The sequence below is a fragment of the Homo sapiens genome, chromosome 3 (assembly GCF_000001405.40).
Source record: "Homo sapiens chromosome 3, GRCh38.p14 Primary Assembly".
NCBI classification, from domain to species: domain Eukaryota; kingdom Metazoa; phylum Chordata; class Mammalia; order Primates; family Hominidae; genus Homo; species Homo sapiens.
This window is the reverse complement of record NC_000003.12, coordinates 147,030,531-147,051,768: the sequence shown is the minus strand read 5'-3', so window position 1 is coordinate 147,051,768 and position 21,238 is coordinate 147,030,531. Positions and strand designations below refer to the sequence as shown.

The following is a 21,238-nucleotide window of genomic DNA, read 5'->3' as shown; positions in this document are numbered from 1 at the left end:
GACATGTCATTATTAGATATTAATAATGCAGTCAGGAGTAATTTATTAGATAGGCAATATAGTGTGAGAGAAAAAACATGATATTTGAAGTTAGACATATCTGTTTTAAGTCTTAATTCATTATTTTATCTCACTACTATATTCAAGTATTAGCTTCCATGTCTTTAAAAAAGAAAAAAATAAAACCTTATAAGGTTGTCATAAGAATTAAGATAACACATTAAAAAGTTGGTAATTAGTAAGCTCCTAATAAATGTTAGTTCACCTTTCCTTCCACAGCAGATATCAAGGAGTGCTGAAGAAGTAATACATAAGAGTGGTAATATGAAGAGTAGGTGAATGAAGAGAAAGAAAAGTTTTGTGAATTACACTCACAACAACCTAATGGAGTGTTGGGCAGTGGGCACTTGTTTAGAGAGAAAGGCAGGAATGATACCAAGATGTTGTAAAAACTGAACATCACCAATTTAACTTTTGGGATTTTACCAGGATCTGGTTTATTATCTCTGCAATATAGACCAATGGATTTTTATTTCAGTTTATTTTTCTCAGCCGTGGTTGATTCACGCTTACCGTACACTTATTCTAAAGGTACTCTATGGTTTCTATATTTACCCTGCAGTTACTTTTTTCTCTCTGATTGTTGTGTATGCTTAGCTCTTTGACATTCTTATACTATCAAGATACCACAAAACGTATTTTTATAATTTCAATAATTTTCTGTCCTTAAATATTTGTGTTTTCTACATGTTTATGTAATTTAAAAAAAAATCATTTCAGGAATTGTGCAGTGGATATCAGATACCACATACTTGAAGTTACTTCTCTCTTTTCATTTTGGCTTCCTTATCTGAGACCCTCACTTTTAAAAATAAGTTGGTATTTATAATAAAAATTATATCTGCATATAAAATTATGCTATGTATATGTCTGTGTAAAGATGAATATGACTATATGTTTTATATAAACTTACAGATGTATATATATATAAAGTCATAGCAAATTACAACATAATAAAATTATAGTGTAAGCTATATGTAATCCAATAGTCAATTGTCATTTGGCCTTTTTAAAAATGTTTAACTTTTTGTTTAACCAATAAAATTGAGTTAGTATAAAGAGAATAGCAAAGACTTGAAAATTTATTTCTATAATTTAAGAAACTATTAAATTTTATAACTAGTTTTAGTTATTAAGTATAGTTTTAAAAATTTAGTATGTATCATTAAAATAAATATTTCACATTGTCAACCCTTAATACCTAATGGAAACTGATATCTGGTTAATTCTATATGAAATTCCTACGATCATTGACTATTGTGAAATAATTTTTTCTAAAGCTATTATGTACTGAAAATGTGGTCAAAGGATGAGAAATCCAGCTGCGTCTATTATTGCAGGAGATTTGGAATAAGAGCTCTACAATATGTTTCTCAAAAACTATAAATAATCTGTACTCTAAAGAATTTTTTTTCCAGCAGGAATAAAAAGCCCTGAAGAAACCTGTGAACACTTTGTCATTTCTGCAAAACTATGAAAACAGTAAAGCAGCTAATTTACTCATCCGTGATTTCCCCAGGTGGCTGAGTTCCCATTAACTCACCAGAGAATGAGATGCAGACCCAGTGCCTTTACATGTCATTTTGACAAGACATAATGTCCGATCTTGTTTGTGTACGCCTTTTCCTTCTACCCCTAGTCTGCTTCACTACTGGTGGTCTGCCCGTGTGCAACACAGATGTTTCTCTCTCGGCTGCATGCTTTATTTTTCAAGTCGCTTCGGAGAGCATATGTTTCCATGTGAGCCTGTTCCTTCCTTCTCCCAACATCTTCTTGTGCTACATAAACAATCTTCATCTGCCCCCTCAGATGTGGGGTGCACGAGCCTTTCACAGATGTCGATTTCTTTTTCAGCCTTTTTGCCTCTGGTGAACATGGTCTTCAGATAATGTCTCTCTTCCTTCTCTGTTCCAAATGACTCGGAATGCAGATTTTTTCCCTCCTTTCAACTCAGTTTCCTTCTGTGACCCCAGCATGTTTTCTTGTCCTTTCTTCTAAGTCTCTCTTTGTACAAGCTCTCCAGATGGGATAAAGGATGAGTTCTTTCTGCCCCTCATTTTATTCTCCTTACAACTATTTCGTTCGCAAGAATAGGAAGAGACAAACTTCACAGGCTAAATATTTCTAATGCATGACCACCTACATTTTTCTGATTTGTTTCTTTGACGTTTAGTGTTCTTTCACATTTAATTAATTAATTAATTAATTAATTTATTTATTTATTTATTTTTTGCAGCTGCCATGTTTAATTTTTTCATTTTTGCTAATTCATTACAAAGAAGTAAAAAATACATGTACATGTACATATTTATGACATACACATATATAAAACACAAAGTAACAGCTACTTTAATGTGTTTTTTTACTTTTATAAAACAGAAATTTCTGCTTCTCTTTTATTCATTCAACACGTATTTGTTGAGTATGTCTTAAGTGCCATGAATTTTTCTGAGTAGCAGCATTTAAGCAATAAATAAAATAGAGGATATCTCCCTTTTCAAGGAATTTATATTCTAGCATGAGAGACAGACAGATAATAAACAAGTACACAAATAAGGTAATTATGAGAGGATGCCAGTCGAGCTGAAATCTGGATAACAAGCAGGAGTCTTAATAAAAAAAATCAGGTAATAAGAACTTCAGGCAGAAAGAACAAGTGCAAAATCCCTATAGAAGGATGGATGTGTGCATTATTAGGAAACAGAAGTGAGTCCCCTGTGGCTGAAGTGTCATCATAAGCATGATGGGGAAGGCTAGATGCAGGGTTGGAGTGGTAGTCAGGGGCCAGATCATTTAGGACTTTTGAAGACTGGGTAAGGATTTTCCATTTTATTCTAAATGCTCTAGGAAGCCATGAAAGCTTTTAAGCAAGGAAGTGACATGATCTGATTTATGTTTTTAAAACATTAATTTGGCCCTGTGATAATTTATTATAGCAGGCTGAAAGGTAGAAGGGAGGCCACACATATGATGCTTTATAATTATGAACCTTAATATAACTGTGATCAAGCACAAAATGATTTATTTTCAGGGAAGACTTTGCTAACTCTTGTGGTTTTGCCATCTCTTCTCTTAACAAATCTGCAGTGTTTTTAGTAGAATGATAATGGCCTCTCCATATTTCAATCAAATTCCTTACCTTGGCATAAAAAGATTTCCAGGAATTTACCCTTCAACCTCTTTCCTTAACTTGGGGTTGTCTAGTCCCATCACCAACATACTGTATTGTAAGCCTTTGCCTCAGATCTATTGAACCACATCCTGATTCCTTACCAGGCCTTGTGCCTCCTGTGTCTGCCTCTGTTCACCCTGCTCTCTTGTTTGGGAAACATCATCTCCCTCTCCCTCTCCACCCTCCAGAAAGCTTCCTCTACAAACCTTTCTGCCCACCTTGTATGTACTCTCTCCATATCCTGCAGAGGCTTCTGTCAACGTGGCCAAAACGTAAATCTTTATGAACGACTAGAGAAGACTAGAAAATGCTGGAAAGCTACCAAAGACAAACATTGCTGAGGACTTTAAGGGTAAGATAAGGACTTGTTGACTTTAGCCCCAAGGTTGTAGAAGGACTTCAGAAGAATTTCAGTGGGAGAGTAACAAGATCTGAATTGCCTTTTAGAAAGTTCATTTTGGTGATACACTGGCAAGAGGAGCAAGTAGAATGACAAAATGAGATTACAAGAAGGCTATTGTATTTGGGCAGATAAGACATGGTGGGACTTGAAACATTTATATACATAACATGCACACACAGAGAGATGTAATAGAGAAAATGGAGAGGAAAGGATATATGTTAGGGTTCTCTAGAGGGACAGAACTAATAGGAGATATATATATATATATATGTATATATAATATATATAGTTTATGTATATATATAAGAAAAGAAAGTTTATTAAGTATTAACTCACCTGATCACAAGGTCTCACAATAGGCCATCTGCAAGCTGAGGAGCAGAGAGCCAGTTCGAGTACCAAAACTGAAGAACTTGGAGTCAGATATTCGAGGTCAGGAAGCATCCAGCATGGAAGAAAAGTGTAGGCCGGGAGGCTAGGCCAGTCTTGTCTTTTCACATTTTTCTGCCTGCTTTATATTACAGCCATGATGGCAACTGATTAGATGGTGCCCACCCAGATTAAGGGTGGGTCTGCCTTTCCCAGCCCACAGACTCAAATGTTAATCTCCTTTGGCAACATCCTCACAGACACACCCAGGATCAATACTTTGCATCCTTCAATCCAATCAAGTTGACACTCACTATTAGCCATCACAGGATGCATTCATGAATACTTAAGCAATATTTAATTGATAAGTAATATGTAGTGGAATGCAATTCAATAAGAGAAAACTCATCAGGTGAGTGGTTTTTGCAGGACAACAGGTGAGAACTGGGCAACAATTGTTGTCAGTTGTGAAGAAGCAATTCTGTCATATGGATGGTGTTCTCATTTTTAATCCTAGACCTATTTAGATCATGTTACAGAAATTCTCACTTTTGCTGGTTGCCAACATACACAGTGAGGGAATCTCAATATTAAGCTGTTAAGATGGCTATATAAATTCTTAAAATCTACAGAGCCAGGTTCCAAATCAGTCTGTCCCTTCAGAAAATGACATGGCATCTGTTCCTTGCTTGCTGGCTGGCTGTACATACTTTTCACTAGACCTACATTTTAGAATTACCCAGTGCTGTCAGAATGATTGTAATTCTGCTTTCAGGTAAAGATAGCCTGTAATAATAATGCTTAGTGATTCATAATGTATCAACAAATAACATTAACTATTTTACGTCCTAGTCGTAGTGCCTGAAGATGTTCATTAGATTTCTGTGTATAGTAAGGTACCCTGCTAAAATTTTTCTTTTTTTCAGTTCTGTATATTTTAAAAAAGCAGTATGTTTTCTGATGGTTACCTGCACTGGCATTCTATATGAAAAATAAAGACTTATTGTCATAAAAAAGTTATTAGAATTCTTTTTTGTGTCAACACTGTGCTTTCCATTTTATGAAATTACCTTCTTGTTTCTCTGTTATTTGCCTTTATTTACCTCATTGTGATTTACGTTTTCCATTTTTTCTGTGAATGAATTTTGAATGTCTTTACTACTGGTTGTAGTACTAAAGTAGAAGAATTAGGCATTCCCATACTTAATCCTTATAGATGAAATAGCAGTGTTCTCTGGTGTGCAAGTGCTGTGGTAGGAGCAAGCTGGGTGAATTGGAGATACACCATTTTGGGACACAGGAGAAATGGTGGCAGGGCCTGGTATGGTTTAGGTGCTTTTGCTCCTTCCCTCACCATCTTGTCATAATGTCTCTTTCATACTATTACCAAATTCTTTGACTTCTAATTAATAGATAAGCAATAACTATTTACTTAGTGAATATTTCATATTTTCCTCACAATTAGATAATAACAAGCTTCTTTGATAGAGAAGCTTAAGGGCCTCCAAAACCTGTGCAAATATCCAGGTTTTTATTTTTAAGTCAACTTCCTTTTCTGCCACTTATTTTTTTTTTGAACTTAAAAACCCACATTCAGATTTGTTTACAGAGAATACACATTCTTTTGCCTTAATTGTTGTGTATCTCCCTAACTCCCTTTTGAGTTCAACTCCATAAACGGAAAGAAAGTAGAGGATTTGATAATGCAAATCCAAAGAACATTGCCAAGTCACTTACACTGAAGCACAAATAATATGGTCATTCTAGGCATTGAGGATGTTGGAAGAAGAGAGTTTGCAATTTTAGCTAGAGTGGCCAGAAAAGGCCTCACAGAGAAGATGACATTTAAGTAAGACCTAAAGGAGAGGAAATGGTGAGTAATGTAGACATCTTGGGGAAGATTTTTCAGACAGATGCAGCAGGAGATGTAAAGGCCCTGAAGTGTTTGCATACCTGGTGTCTTCAAGGGACAAGAAGATGAGCTATAGCTGGAGAGGATTAAGGACGACAGTAGAAGTAGATGAAAATGAAGAGGTAAGTGAAGGAGGTTGGGTCAGGCAAATCTCATAAGGCCTTCACATCATTGTACTCCGAATCAAGGCAGAGGCCATTAAAAGATTTTCAGCAGAGGAGTAACTTGATTTGACTTAGTTTTCATAGGTTCATTTTGCCTGCTGTGTGGAAACAGACTGTAGAGGAGAAAGGGTGGAAGCAGGGAGACTAGTGATGTGGGGGTGTCTCCTGCACAATTCTCATGTTGAAATGTAATCCCCAATTTTGGACATGGGGCCTTGTGGGAGGCGTTTGGATCATGGCAGTGGTTCCCTCATGTCTTGGTGCTGTCCTTATGATAGTGAGTTCTCATGAGATCTGTTTGCTTAAAAGTGTGTGACACCTCCCCCCAACCTTGTTCCTGCTCTTGCCATGTGATGTGCCTGCTACCTGAGGGCTTCACCAGGAGACAAGCAGATGCTGGTGCCATGCTTCCTGCATCCTGCAGAACCATGAGTCAATTAAAATTCTTTTCCTTATAAATTACCCAGTCTCAGGTGTTTCTTCATAGCAATGCAAAGAACAACCTAATACAACTAGTTAGCCATGTAATAATCCAGACTGGAAGTACTGGTGGCGCAAAATAGAGTGGTAGCATTTGAAGGAGTGAAAAATGGTTGGATTCCTGAATATGTGAATTGGAGAAAAGGAGGAGTAAAGAATGAACTTGAGGTTTAGGCTTGTGCCACTGGAAGAATCAGTTTTTTTCATTGAAATGGAAAAACTATGAGTTAAGGGTTGATTTGGTGGAAAGTTTAGGGTCTCATTGTTAGATAAATTTTGAGATATTGATTAGACATTTACATGAGTGTCAAGTAGACAGAAAAGAACTGTGAAAACCATTACTATAAAGATAACATTAAAAGCCATCGGACAAGATGAGATCACAAAAAGAGTGAGTACAAATAGAAAAGAAAGAACATTCAGGGACTGAGCCCTGGGATAATTCTATGTTTAAAGTTTCGGGAAATCTGAAAAAATAATTAAAACAAACAGAAAGATATTCTCAAACAGCTTGACAATAATATTCAGGTGAAAAAATTATGATTTTGTCTATTCTTTTTGTATATTCTAATATAAGTAGGTAATACATTTTATATTGTTTTATAATTTATAATTTACATGCAATAAAGCACGATTTTCAGTTGTTCAATTTTATGAGTTTTGACAATTATATAAACTAATGCGACTCTTTAAAAATAAGATATGAAATATTTTCATGACCCCACAAAATTCTCATGTGTCCTATTGCAGTTAATTCCCTGCCCTCATATACATGTAATTGTTTCTTGACTCCAATCATCATAGATTAGTTTTGCCTGCCAAGAGTTTTATATAAATGACTTTGTTTCGCTTTTTATCAGCATTATTTCTACAGTGTACATGATTACATCACACTGCATACATCAGTAGTTTTTCCTTTTTATTGAGAGGTAAATATTTCATTTTACATATGCAAAATGATAGTATATCGTTCTCCTGATGATGGACATTTTAGTTGTTTCCAGTTTTATGCTATTACAAATAAGACTGCTGTGGACATTTTTATACAAGTCTTTTCTGGGATATATGTTTTCATTTTATTTGATCATAGGTACATGTAATCTAACTTTGTAAGAGATAGCCAAACAGTTCTGAAAAATACTTATACCATATTATACTCCCAGGCAAAATATTTTTAAACAGATAATAGTTATTTTCTTTAAAAATTGCTCTGAGAATTACATAATTTTAAATATTCATCGTACTCTTTACTGTACATCCGTGATCTAACATCTTGTCAAAATATTCTCTTTTTTTTTTTTTGAGACAGAGTCTCGCTCTGTCGCCCAGGCTGGAGTGGCAAAATCTCGGCTCACTGCAAGCTCCGCCTCCCGGGTTCACGCCATTCTCCCGCCTCAGCCTCCTGAGTAGCTGGGTCTACAGGCGCCCCACACCATGCCTGGCTAATTTTTTGTTTTTGTATTTTTAGCAGAGACGGGGTTTTACTGTGTTAGCCAGGATGGTCTCGGTCTCCTGACCTCGTGATCTACCCGCCTCAGCCTCCCAAAGTGTTGGGATTACAGGCATGAGCCACCGCGCCCAGCCGTCTTGTCAAAATACTCTAAGAGTAAGTTTTTGAAGATTTTACTACGGCATAAGGAGAAGTCACAAATTGATAAGTGCTACTGGAACAGTTTGTGAAAAATTGTTCATTAGTAAATTAACCATTATATGCAAATTAATTTAATAAACTCTCGACTCAAGCAAGGATGGGAAGGAGCTTTCTCTACTTCTTTATGTGAGAAGTTACATCCCTAACAGGAGTGATCTCAGTCTATGCTTCATTCAACTGTATCCATCTTACAACTTTCTTCTTTCCTTTTTTCTTTTTCTTCCAGCTTCATCTGTTTAGAATCAAAAGTGCGGAAGACCTGGGAATTATGTAATAAGGATAGCAGAATAATCCTCGTCACTGACAGGTGGTGAGCTGTAAAGTGTTCTTTTGTTGCAGTGGCAGAGATTTCAGCAATGGAGGGAAATCCAGTGGCCAAGATGCTTACCTGTCTCGGTGTCCAGCATGTGTCCTGGAGGAGTGCCCCTAAAGCACCTTCAGCTGTTTATTTAAACACTTGACTCCAGGCTCTGATGCATTTTAATTTTTCAACATTTAAATTTAGCTGTTTTAATGAGGTTTTAGTTTTAATAAGTAACAAAAGATTTTTTCAGTATTAATTATCATGAGGTCTTAAACTCTGTAATCTATATAAAACTCAGAGAGAACCTGTCTTGAGTAGTTTAAATCTCTAATTAAATCAGTATTTCTACCTAGCAACAGAGTAGCAAAAGTATTAATTCAGTGGTTCTCAATAGGGGTAGGGGAGCAGATTTTGACCGCCAGCCCAGGGCACATTTGGCAATGTCAAGATGTTTTTCGCTGTCATAACTTACGGAGGGGATAGGTGCTACTGGCATCTAGTGGGTAGAGGTCACGGATGCTGCTGAATATCCTGCAGAGCTCAGGACAGCCCCTATCTCCATAAAAACTTTTCTGGCCCAGAATGTCAATAGTGCAACTGTTGAGAAACCTTCTATAAAATGATTGGTGTGGGTAAGAGAATATACTAAAATGCTAAAATAGCAGGCTTGAAATTATTTGCATATCAGGAGAGTGGAGTTTATAACTGACTGACTAAAAACTCTGGTGTAGGACCTATCCTCCAGAGGCGATGCTAAATCTGCGGATAGGACACTAAATCAGCATCTGTAAAATTTGAAACATATCTCCACGGTGGGGTCAGACCAAAGAATGGTAAATGTTGCTTTGATTTTAAAAAGTTGGAAATGATGTTTCTCAGAGGAAATACTAGGTCTCAGTTGAGCTGTGAGAGGGGGCAGGTTGCTATGTTTTTTTCTCTACAATAGTGCACAGTGTCTTTTGAATGGGAGAAGTTCTGAATACCCTACTGAAGTAGCCCCTGCTGCAGTGTTCTCTACCATGACATGCTCTTTTTGCTTTCCCAGCACTTTTATTAACTTTTAATTAATTTTTATTGTTCATGTTGCTATTGCTATTAGTCTACTGTCTGTCTCATTGGACTGTAAGCTCTATGAGAGTGGCAAATATATAGTATCACTTAATATTGTATGTCTAGTAGCTACCAGAGTGCCTGCCGTTATAACGAGCATGGATAAATTTAATATTTTTGAATTAAATGAATGAATTAAACATGTTTGTAGTGTGACTTCTTAGCATAATGCATCCATTTTCAACAGCAGAGAATCTTCTACCATACAAAGAGAACATTTCCTCAGAAAGTTCTTACTTTCTCTTTTGTCATATTCCTCTTATTAAGAAAAATTCAAGAATTGGCAACTAGGACCCCTTTATTTGATCCATTTCCCTATTGATTATGTGTAAGGACCTTGAATCATTGAACAATCTCTGGAAAATGTTTCTCTTCCTGAGTTATTTAAAGAAAAGAGAATATGAGTGTCAATAGTCATACAGAAGGTACTGTTGCCTGAATACTATGCCCCTAATTTTAATAGTCAAAAGGCAGCGAATTTCCTTCCAGGCTTTTACAGAACGGAGTTAAAACTAAGTCTGCATTTACACGTGGACCATCAAAATTTTAACAATTAGACGCTGGGTAAGTGGCTTAAAACACTTTCATTGAAATTTTTGTACCTTTCCCTAATTAGGCATTCAAACAATGGACACATGTGGAATCTGCCAGCCCCAAGTTCCCAGCAGCTCTTAGTAAAGGTGATTGATGGCTACATAAAACATGATCTTAACTTTAGGCTTCCTTAAGCAACTATGTATTTATCTTAAATATTTCTAGTCCGATTGTCCCAGGTTCAACTGGTACCTGAGAATCCTTGGAAGTGGGACCATTGACTGATTTAGTTCAGACTTTCCAGCTTACAGCTGACTCCCTTTACCACAGACATTCTTATCTTTAAAGTGCTACCTGAGGTCTTTTTAGTGATATTTACCAATTTTTAAAATTTTGAGTGTTTCAGTATGGTGGCAGTTTCATGTTGGTGTTATCCCAGGAAAAGTTTCCTAAAACTTGGAAATGAGGCAAAAAGATGATTACAGTCATTTCAATATCATGTTACAGAAGTGCCTCTCGAAGTTTAATGTGCTCCTGAATCACCTGGAAATATTTTCAGATTGTAGATTCTGATTCAGTGCATCTGGGGTGGGGCCCCCAGATACTCAATTTTAAATAGTCTCAGGTGGTATCAATGCTCCTGAATCATAAGCCACATTTTGAGTAACAAGATGCTAGGGCAAATTTTTGAAAACCCATGTAAAAGTCCATGTCTCTTTCTAACGCAGTGGTTCTCAAACTTGCTTGCATCTTAAAATCACCTGGAGAGGTTTTAAAACTCCTTCTACTCAGACCTCACCTGTTTCCAACTAAATGAGAATATCAGAGGTAAGACATACTTATTGGCAGCTTAAAAAGCTTCCCAGATGTTTCTAATATTCTCTAACAGAATATGGCTTTGTTTACAGTACAGATTAAGGGCATTTTTTATACTTCTGTAAAACTGGTAAGGCGTGATGGTTTTGTTTTCCTGTAATTTTACCAACTTTGTGTCTAATTTGGCACTTTATTTCAGGTTTTTCTTTTTTCCTACTGACTAAAAGTTTCTGTTTTTCAAATACTGTTTGGAACTACTTTGTCATCTTGCTAGTTCCCACATTAATGAGTGAAATGAAACTTTGACACAGAATGCTTTGATGATTTTTATTCTATCCAATCTATTACCATAATTTCTTAGCTAGTAGCTGTATTTTCTTTTTGAGCAGCAGCCAATCTTTATGGGAAGTTGGTAAAGAATATATTATAAATAAATTCATACACTATTTTGGTGTCTCCCCACATCTATCTAATAATTCATTACTAGTTCAGTAATTGTTGACATACTTGATCTTAAAGTACGTTTCTGGAGATCAGATTTACATTCTGACCAGGGCCAATGACTACATTTGGAAGAAAGTTCCCTCTTTTTTTTTTTTTTTTTTTTGAGAGAGTCTTGCTCTGTTGCCCAGGCTGGAGTGCAGTGACACAATCAGGATTCACTGCAGCCTTGACCTCCCAGACTCAAGCAATCCTCCTGCCTCAGCCTCCCAAAGTGTTGGGATTACAGTCTTAACCACCAAGCCCAGCCAAGTTCCCTCTTTTATTTACAAGAAAAATGCCATGGCATAACCTTTAGCTGGTTTGTATTTGGAGTTGTTCTCCCACAGTGGGGATAAGTTAGGTCTACTTCACCTATACTTTTTCCTTATGACTGATGGCTCCCATTTTCAGGATGTCAGTCCTGGGTCTGAGGGACTGCCTGTAGCAAAGTAAATTGGCCCACTTAGGGATCAAACCTGTGAACTTGTCTTCATCAACACTGTACTCCTACCAGAGGTGTGAACCTGCCATTTTTATCAGCTGATTGATTTCACTGAAAGTTATTATTCTGAAATTGTTCTGCTTCTTAGAGAAAGGAAATATTGTATTAGAGATGGGTAAAAGTGCAGTTACTCTTGAGTTTAAAATATATATTATAAAACTAAAATTCAATGAAAAAATTCAGCTAAAAAGATATTTATGTATTTAAAAAATTCCCAAACAAATCAGTCAGTAAGGGTACTTAGCCTTAGATAAGTTCATATTATCCCTTCTTTTTAGGTCTTACCTCTAATATTTTTCAACTTAAAGTTTATTTTACCAACATAGCTACATTTATTGCCAATTTCCATAATATACAATAACCATTAAAAGTGGCTACTGTTATCTTAATAAAGCTGCTTTTCTCAAATGATTTGTAAACTGGTCTTGAAGGCTTTTCCCAAAGGCATTTTTTTAAACTTTTGTTTTCGATAAGGAGATACATGTGCAGTTTTGTTACATGGGCATATTGCACCCAGGTAGTGAACATAGTACCCAATAGGTAGTTTTTCAACCCATGCCCTACTCCTTTCCTCCCTCCTCTAGTAGCCCACAATGTCTATTGTTCCCAGGTTTATGTCCATGTGTGTTCAATGTTTAGCTCCCACATATAAGTGAAAACATGTAGTATTTGGTTTTCTGTTTCTTCATTAATTCACTTAGTATTATGACCTCCAGCTCCATCCATGTTGCTGCAAAAAAATACAATTTCATTCTTTATGGCTGTATAGTATTCCACAGTGTATATGTACCATGTTTTCTTTATGCAACCCACTATTGATGGGTACATAGATTGATTCCATGTCTTTGCTATAGTGAATAGTGTGGCGACGAACATATGGTTGCATGTGTCTTTTTTGGTACAATAATTTATTTTTCTTTGAATATATATCCAATGATAGCATTTCTGGGTCAAATGGTAGGTCTGTTTTAAATTCTCTGAGAAATTTCCAAACTGTTTCTATAGTGGCTGAACTAATTTACATTCCCACCAACAGTGTATAAGTATTCCCTTTTCTCTGGAGTCTAACCAGCCTCTGTTATTTTTTGACTTTTTAATAATAACCATTCTGACTGGTGTGAGATGGTATTTCGTTGTGGTTTTAATTTGCATTCCTCTGATGCTTAGTGAAGCTGAGTATTTTTAAAAACATGTTTGTTGGCTACTTTTATGTCTTCTTTTGAGAGGTTTCTGTTCATGTCCTTTATCTATTTTTAAATGGGGTGATTTGTTTTTTGCTTTTTGATTTAAGTTCCATATAGATTCTGGAAATCAGACTAAGGCAGTTTTTAATATTTTAAGATAACAGAAATTTAATAGAACACGTAAAATATGTCATAATTAATATTATGAAGGTCATTACTTTGATATTAACTTTCTGGAAGTTTTGCATTTTGTTCTATTTTGATTCGGTATTCACAAGAACAATATTCTAGCATTTTTTAAAGGCAGTATTGACATGACTCGTTCTAATTAAGTAAATGATGTTTTTGCTTTAATCAAATATTTTGGAAGAAACAACAAGTTTACATGCCAAGTGTCAGAGAGAAAAGAAGCCACAGAAATGTATCATTTTACGATTTAAGTACTTTGATAGTTAGGTTTCATTTTTAAAGCAAATACACGTAATATTTTTGTATATTGTTTGCTTAAGTCTCATGACCATGAAATTACAACACCTATTTGAGCATCCTCCATGTACCACAAGCAAATACTTATTATCAATGAATTGGTACATTTATTTGTTATTGAAAGTTTGGCTATTAAATGTTTAGCTTAATTTTGGGGAGATTATATTTTAAGATAACTCTTAAAATATGATTAACCAGCTGACAAAAGGTATAGTCAAAATAGATTTTTCTGCTACCAGTGAAAATAATTGTCTTTTTCAAAGTATAGTTGCCATTAATGTAGTCTGCAGTCTTCAACTATAAATAACCTGATAAACTAGAGTAGACTGTTCTGTTGACTTTGTGAATGGTCACAGCTTAAAAGGAATGAAAACAAAAATGTATTTTTTCAGGAAAGTTAAAATAAACATATTTTTAAAATAATAATTTAAATTAGAAATAGTTTATTAAGAGTTTTTTTTTAATTCATGAATGGATGTTGGATTTGTCAAATGCATCTTCTGTATCTATTTATACAATTATGCAATTTTTCTTCTTTAATCTGTTGATGTGATGGATTACATTCATTGATTTCAAATGTTAGACCAGCCTTGCATAACTGGTATAAATCCCTCTTTGTTATAGTGCATAATTCCCTTAACACATTGTTGGATTTGATTTGCTAATATTTTGTTGGGGATTTTTGCATCTTTGTTCCTGAGAGATGTTGGTCCGTGATTTTCTTTTCTTATAATATCTTTGACTTCTTTTTTTTTTGGTATTAAGGTAATGCTAGCCCTATAGAATGAGAAAGTTAGAAAGAATTCCCTCTCTCTCTCTCTCTCTTTCTCTCGAAACAGATTCTTGCTCTGTTGCCCAAGTCAGAGTGCAGTGGCACAATCTTAGCTCACTGCAACTTCCACCCATCACTCCCCTCCCACAGGTGTGAGCCACCCCGCCCAGCTAATTTTTTATATTTTTAGTAAAGATGGGGTTTCACCATGTTGGCCAGGCTGGTCTCAAACTCCTGATGACAAATGATCTGCCCTCCTCAGCCTCCCAAAGTGCTGAGATTACAGGCTTGAGCCACAGCACCCAGCCTTCCCTCTACTCTTATCTTCTGAAAGAGACTACCAAGAATTGGTAAATTTCTTCCTTAAATGTTTGGTAGAATTTACAAGTGAACCCATCTAGGCCTGGTGCTTTCTGTTTTGAAACTTTATTAATTATTGATTCAAATTATTTAATAGATATAATTTTATTCAGATTGGCTATATCAGAGTTTTGGGCAGATTGTATCTTTCAAGAATTGATCTATTTCATCTAGGTTATCAAATTTGTAGACATAGACTTATTCATAGTATTTCTTGATGATCTGTTTAGCGTCCATGGGATCTATAATGTTGCCCCTCTTTCATTACTGATTTTAATAATTGTGTTCTCTCTCTTTGTTTTTAGCTAGGCTGGCTAAAGTTTAATTAATTATATTGTTCTTTTCAAATAATGAGCTTTTGGTTTTGTTAATTTTTCTCCACTGATTTTCTGATTTCAAATGTATTGATTTCTGGTCTAATTCTTTTTTTCCTTCTGCCTATTATGATTTTAATTTACTCTTTTTCTCTCTAGTTTCCTAAGGTTTAAATTTAGATTATTGATGTTTAGATCTTTGTTTTTTTTCTAATATATTCATTCAGTGCTATAATTTTCTCTCTTAGCTCTGATATTGCTCCATCCCAAAAAGTTGATAAATTTTTTCATTTTCATTTAGTTCAAAATATTTAAAAATTATTTTTGAAATTTCTCATTTGATTCATGTGTTACTTAGAAGTGTGTTACTTAGTCTCTACAACTTTTGAAACTTTCCAGTTATCCTTCTCTTATTGATTTCTAATGTAATTCTATTGTGGTCTGAGACAAGACATTGTGTTATTTCTAACCTTTTAAATATGTTACAATGTGTTTTACTGCCCAAAATATAGTCTGTCTTGATGAACATTCCATGTGAGCTTGAGGAAAATGTGTATTCTGTTGCTATTGAGTAGTTTATTAATGTCAATAATATCTAGTTGATTGATGGTGTTGTTGAGTTCAACTATACCCTTTTTAATTTTCTGCCTGCTGTATCTGTCCATTTCTGATAAAAGAGTGTTGAAATCTTTAACTGTAATAGTGGATTTATCTTTCCCATACAGTTCTATCAGTTTTTCTCTCAAATAGTTTGATGGTCTGTTGTTACATGTTAAGTATTGTTATGTGTTCTTGGAGACTGACTTCTTTATTATTATGTAATGCCTTTCTTTATCTCTGATAATTTGTCTTGCTGTGAAGTCTGCTCTGTTTGAAATTAATATAGTAATTCTACTTTCTTTTGATTAGTATTAGTATGGTATATTTTTCTTAATATATTTGCTTTTAAACTAAATATGTCTGTATACTTAAAGTGGGTTTATTTTATAGGCAATATATAGTTGGGTCTTGCTTTTCATTCACTTTACAGTATCTGTTTTTTAATTGGTGCATTTAGACTGTTGATGTTCAAAGTGATTATTGATATGGTTGGACTAATATCTATCACATTTGTTACTGTTTTCTATTGGTTGCTCTTGTTCTTTGTTCCTATTTTTGCCTTCCACTCTTCTTCTATTGTGTGTGTGTGTGTGTGTGTGTGTGTGTGTGTTTTCAGACAGGGTCTCTCTTGCCCAGGCTGGCGTGCAGTGGTGTGATCATGGCTCACTATGGCCTCAACCTCCCAGGCTCAAGCAATCTTTCCACCTAAGCCATCAAGTAGCTGGGACTACAGGTGCATATGACCATGCCAAGCTATTTTTTTTTTTTTTTTTGTAGAGATGGGGGTCTCATTATGTTGCTCAGGCTGGTTTCAAACTCAAGGCCTCAAGCAATCCTCTTGCCTCAGTCTCCCAAATGTTGGGATTACGAGTATGAGCTCTTTGTTGGTTTTAAGTGAGCATTTCATATTCTATTTTCTCTCCTTTCTTAGCATATCAGTTATACTTCTTTTATAAATTAAAAAAATGGCTTCCCTAGATTTTGCAATATACATTTACAACTAATCTAAGGTCACTTTCAGATAACACCATATAACTTCACAGGTTGTGTGAGTACTATATAATAACAAAATAATCCTAATTTCCCCATGTATTCCTCTTACAATTTCTGTCATTTATTTTATTATATATAAACATATGTAAATATATATACACAGAGAAGATATAAATGTGTGCATATCAAATACATTGCTGCTGTTATAATTTTAAAGAAACTATCTGTTAGATCAATTAAGAATAAGAAAAATAAAAGTTTTCACTTTACTTTCATTTATCCCTTCTTTAGTGTTCCTTTCTTTTTGTAAATCTTAGTTTCTGATCTGTCTCATTTTCCTTGTCTCTAAAGAACTTGTTTTAACATTTCTTCTAAGACGGGTCTACTAGCAACAAATTTCCTCAAACCTTGTTCATGTGAGAGGTCTTTATTTATCTTTTGCCTTTGAAGGATAATTTCACAGTACAGCATTCTAGATTGATGTTTTTGTCTGTGTCAACACTTTAACTATTTCATTCCATTGTCTTCTTGCCTGCATAGTTTCTGAGGAGAAGTCAGGTATGATTCTCATCTTCATCCTTCCATAGGTAAGGTCTTTTATCCTCTGGCTTCTTTCAAGATTTTTTTTTTATTTTCTGTCTGTAGTTTAAAAATGATATGCTTGGGTGTAGGTTTTTGTTTCGTTTCGTGGTTTTTGCATCTACCTTGCTTGACATTCTTTGAGCCTTCAAGAGCTATAATCTGACATTACTTGGGAAGAAATTCTGTCATTATCATTTTAAATATTTCTTCTATTCCTTGCTCTTTTTTTTCCTCCTTCTGATATTCTCATTATTCATATGTTGCACCTTTTGTAGTTTTCTCATAGTCTTTGGATTTTTTTTTCTATTTTATTCCCCGACTTTGTTCTCCTTGTTTTTCAGTTTGGAGGTTTCTACTGATATATCCTCAAGCTCAGAGATTCTTTCCTCAACCACGTTCACACAAATAATGAGCCCATCAAAGGCATTCTTCATTTCCATTAGTGTTTTTGACCTGTAGCATTTGTTTTTGGTTCTTTCTTAGAATTTTCATTTCTCTGCTTATATTGCCCATCTGTTCTTGCATGCTGTCTGTGCTATGTATTAAACCTCTTAACGTATTAACCATAGTTGTTTTAAATACTGATTTGATCATTTCAGCATCCCTGCCAGGACTGGTTCTATCTCTTCAAATTGTGTTTTTTGTTTCTTAGTATGCCTTGTAATTTTTTCTTGGTAGCTGTACATGATATACCAGGCAAAAAGAACTGCTATAAATAGACCTTTAGTAATATGGTGGTAAGGTGTTTGGCGGGGGAGGGAAAGTACTTGCTGGACCTATGACTGAGTTTCAGTCTTTTATTGAGACCTAATCATAGCTGCTGGACTGTGAAATTCACAAGTATTTTCTAGTCTCTCCCACCTCCCTTAGGTGAGACAGGATGTCTAAAACTGGCTGGAGTTGGGTATTCTCCCTTCCTCTGAGTCTGTTAGGCTCTGATAAAACCACCAGGAGATTAGGCCCTGGTTAAATACATTCTCCTGAGGGCAGGCCTTGTTAAGAAGTTGGGTGCTCTGGCATATTTCAAAATAGTTCCTTTGCCCCTCTCCTGCTGAAAGCACAAGGGAATTTTTCTCTATTTACTTTGAGAACCTGGTTGACTTCTGTAGGTAAAACTCACAAATGTGCAGGGACCCCCACAATAACTGAGTTTTCATGGAGTTTTTAATTCTCATACTCTCCACACCAAGCCTCCAGCAACTCATCAATTACAGTTCAAGTTTTCCTAATCCAGAACTGGCTCCTGAAGTGATTTCCACTCATGAGTTTCTGTTCTGGTAAGCTGTGACTCCCTGTAGTCACCTGTCTTTCTCCCAATTTTAGGTGTAGAAGTTTGCCCTGTGTCCTTACCTCTTTTATGAATTCAAGAAGAGTTCTTGGTTTTTTCAGTCTGTTCAGCTTTTCACTAGTTGTTAGAAAGGAGTGGCAACTTCCAGGATACTTACATGCAGAACTGAAAACTGAAAGTCTTAAGTTGGATTTTGAAAGAGAAAGGTAGCTTGATTTGTTAGAGAATTATATTTTATCTTCATGTTATTATTATGTATTTAATGCCCTTATTATAGCTTCAAGTTTTGGGGATTGATATAAACTCTGTTAGAGCATCTAATTTTACAAATTTTCTGTTAGTAGGTGCTTTTATTCAAGACTGTCTTGAATATTGCCATCTTAATCTGGCTTGTAAGGGAAGACTAGAGCTACAACATGTAAACAATATGATTAGGTAGCTATAGAGATATAAATGGAGATGAATCTTGGAGAGAAAGTAACAACAATATTCAGAGCAGTGTTTCTTAAACAAGAGTTAACTTGAGAATCCTTTATCGAACTTACTAAAATTATACAATTAAAGACCTTACCCCATTGCTCCTCTTCAATAGATCTGGATGTATTGCAGGCATTTTTAATAAAGCCTCACAGAAGATTCTCATGAATAACATTGAGAACCTTTGGGTTAGAGGTAACTCCGTAAATTAACTTGGGTTAACCCTCATATTTACTAACATTACTAGAGATAAATGTTTTGTATATTGCCCCAAAGTATGATTTTCTGAGATTACAAAAAAGTCGTATTATGTTAGCACATATGCATATGCATAATATGTGCATAATAGCACAGTAAAATCCATACCAAACACAAAAAAGCAGTTTAACAGTTTTAATTCTGTGCTTCTCAAACCCTTTAGTAACAGTGTACCAATTATCATCCTACTAAATTATTTTCCAAAGAAACAAATGTGAATAGAAATTTATGTTGGGGCTCTCAAGTATAACTGTGTCGACTTCAAAAATTAAGGATTTTTTAGTTAACTGCTTTTAGTCTATAAACTCAGTTATTTACTATAGGATTAAGATAGTTTGAATGATGTTTATTTTTCAACCCTTTTCTGTTCCATAAGTGTATACTTTTGAACTAGCCACTAGAACTTAATCAGCAATGTCAAATGAACTAGAAATATATTTTAAAAACAAAGTTAGATTTGCTCTTCTCAATATTTCGCTACACGGATTAATTCAGAATATTAAAAACACATTCTTCAAAGAACACACAGGTAGAACACAAGAATTTCAGAATTTAATGAGAAGAGTCAAGGTTTTTTGTTAATTGGTTTAATTTAAAACTACACTTTTGTTGCACTGTAGCTGATGATTTACTGACTGGATTAGCGTACTGAAAAGATACACATATTGTAAGGAATCAAAGCTTGCAGGTCAGAAGCAGAATATTTCTGAATTATCAGGAAAGCGATATGGAGAGTGCTGATCCACACTTCCCAGATAAGAAAGATTTCACTAATTTCTACCAGGAATACTTCATTGCGCTCTCATTCTTGATGCAGTGTTGCATAGTCTTTCAAAGTAACATCTTTTGGTGTTTCTGCCATGGCCAAAAGGTTTCATGGGGGTTGCTTCTATACTACATTTCTGGGTCTTCTTGGGCTGTGCCTAGTTATTTTTTGTGTAGTTTCCAGTTTTGCATAGATGTTTGAAGGTTTCAGCTCTGGGTGCCTGTGAATAAAGGTTATGCTGTATTTCCTGTTGTACTACCACTTTAATAAAAGTGGTGTAACTTCAAAGCACTATTTCCAGAGTATATAGTTCTTCTTTTATGAGGAAATGAATTTTTTTAGTGTTTGATAAGTTTTTATGGTTGTTGTTTTGAATTTTATATCTTTGCTACTATATAATATTAATCAAAGCTTCACCTTATTTATACAACTCCCAAGAAAACTGTAGACCTGTTCACTATCAAATGCTCAGTATTGTTGGCAGTATTATAAAATGATGAAAGCATGGCTACATGTGGCAAAAATACAGTTTACTAATGCAGCATGTATGCTATTGTGGCAGTATATTTTCCAAATGCTCATTTAAATTCTATTACTTTTTATTAATTCATGGCTATTTATTATTGAGATAGACCCAGCCAGTTTCTCAGTGTCTCTATTTTTTTTTACAAGTTTAACATAGACCTTTTTTCCAATGCAATATTCACCTTTAAATATTATGCCTTAAAGTAAATCAACTCTCTCTCTCTCTGTGTCTCTCTCTCTGTCTCTCTCTCTGTCTCTCTCTCCCTGCACACACACACACACACACACACACAAACACACACACATTTGAAATCCTAGCTATAATAAGGAGCAACAGACTAAAATAATACTAAAAGCCTCACCAGACTATTTCCAGGACTATTACAGCATTCCAAAAGCTTTTTTCAGTATCTTGTTGCTTTCAAAGTTTAATATTCCTGAAATATTTTCCATAACTGAATGGCCCATACTATAGGAGCTGTGAACCATAATAGCTAATTTAGCACCATTTTCTTATCTATACATTATTGTTTACATTAAAGGTGATATCTTTGGCAATCAATTTTAATGGGCAGGTATTAATTTTCGGTAGTGGCCTACATACAATGACAGTGATGAAGAGCATTGCAACAAAATGCTCCTGAATTAATCTGTCAGTTTGACCTAGTAACTG

At 35.0% G+C, this 21,238-nt stretch overlaps 1 long non-coding RNA gene across 1 annotated transcript; it reads left to right on the top strand.

The window, feature by feature from the left end:
• The first annotated feature begins 8,026 nt into the window (after nucleotides 1-8,026).
• Nucleotides 8,027-9,765, top strand: LOC112268449 (uncharacterized). Its single transcript, XR_002959652.2, has 2 exons — nucleotides 8,027-8,166; nucleotides 8,438-9,765. It is a non-coding gene; the product is annotated as an uncharacterized LOC112268449 (long non-coding RNA).
• Nucleotides 9,766-21,238: the final 11,473 nt, after the last annotated feature.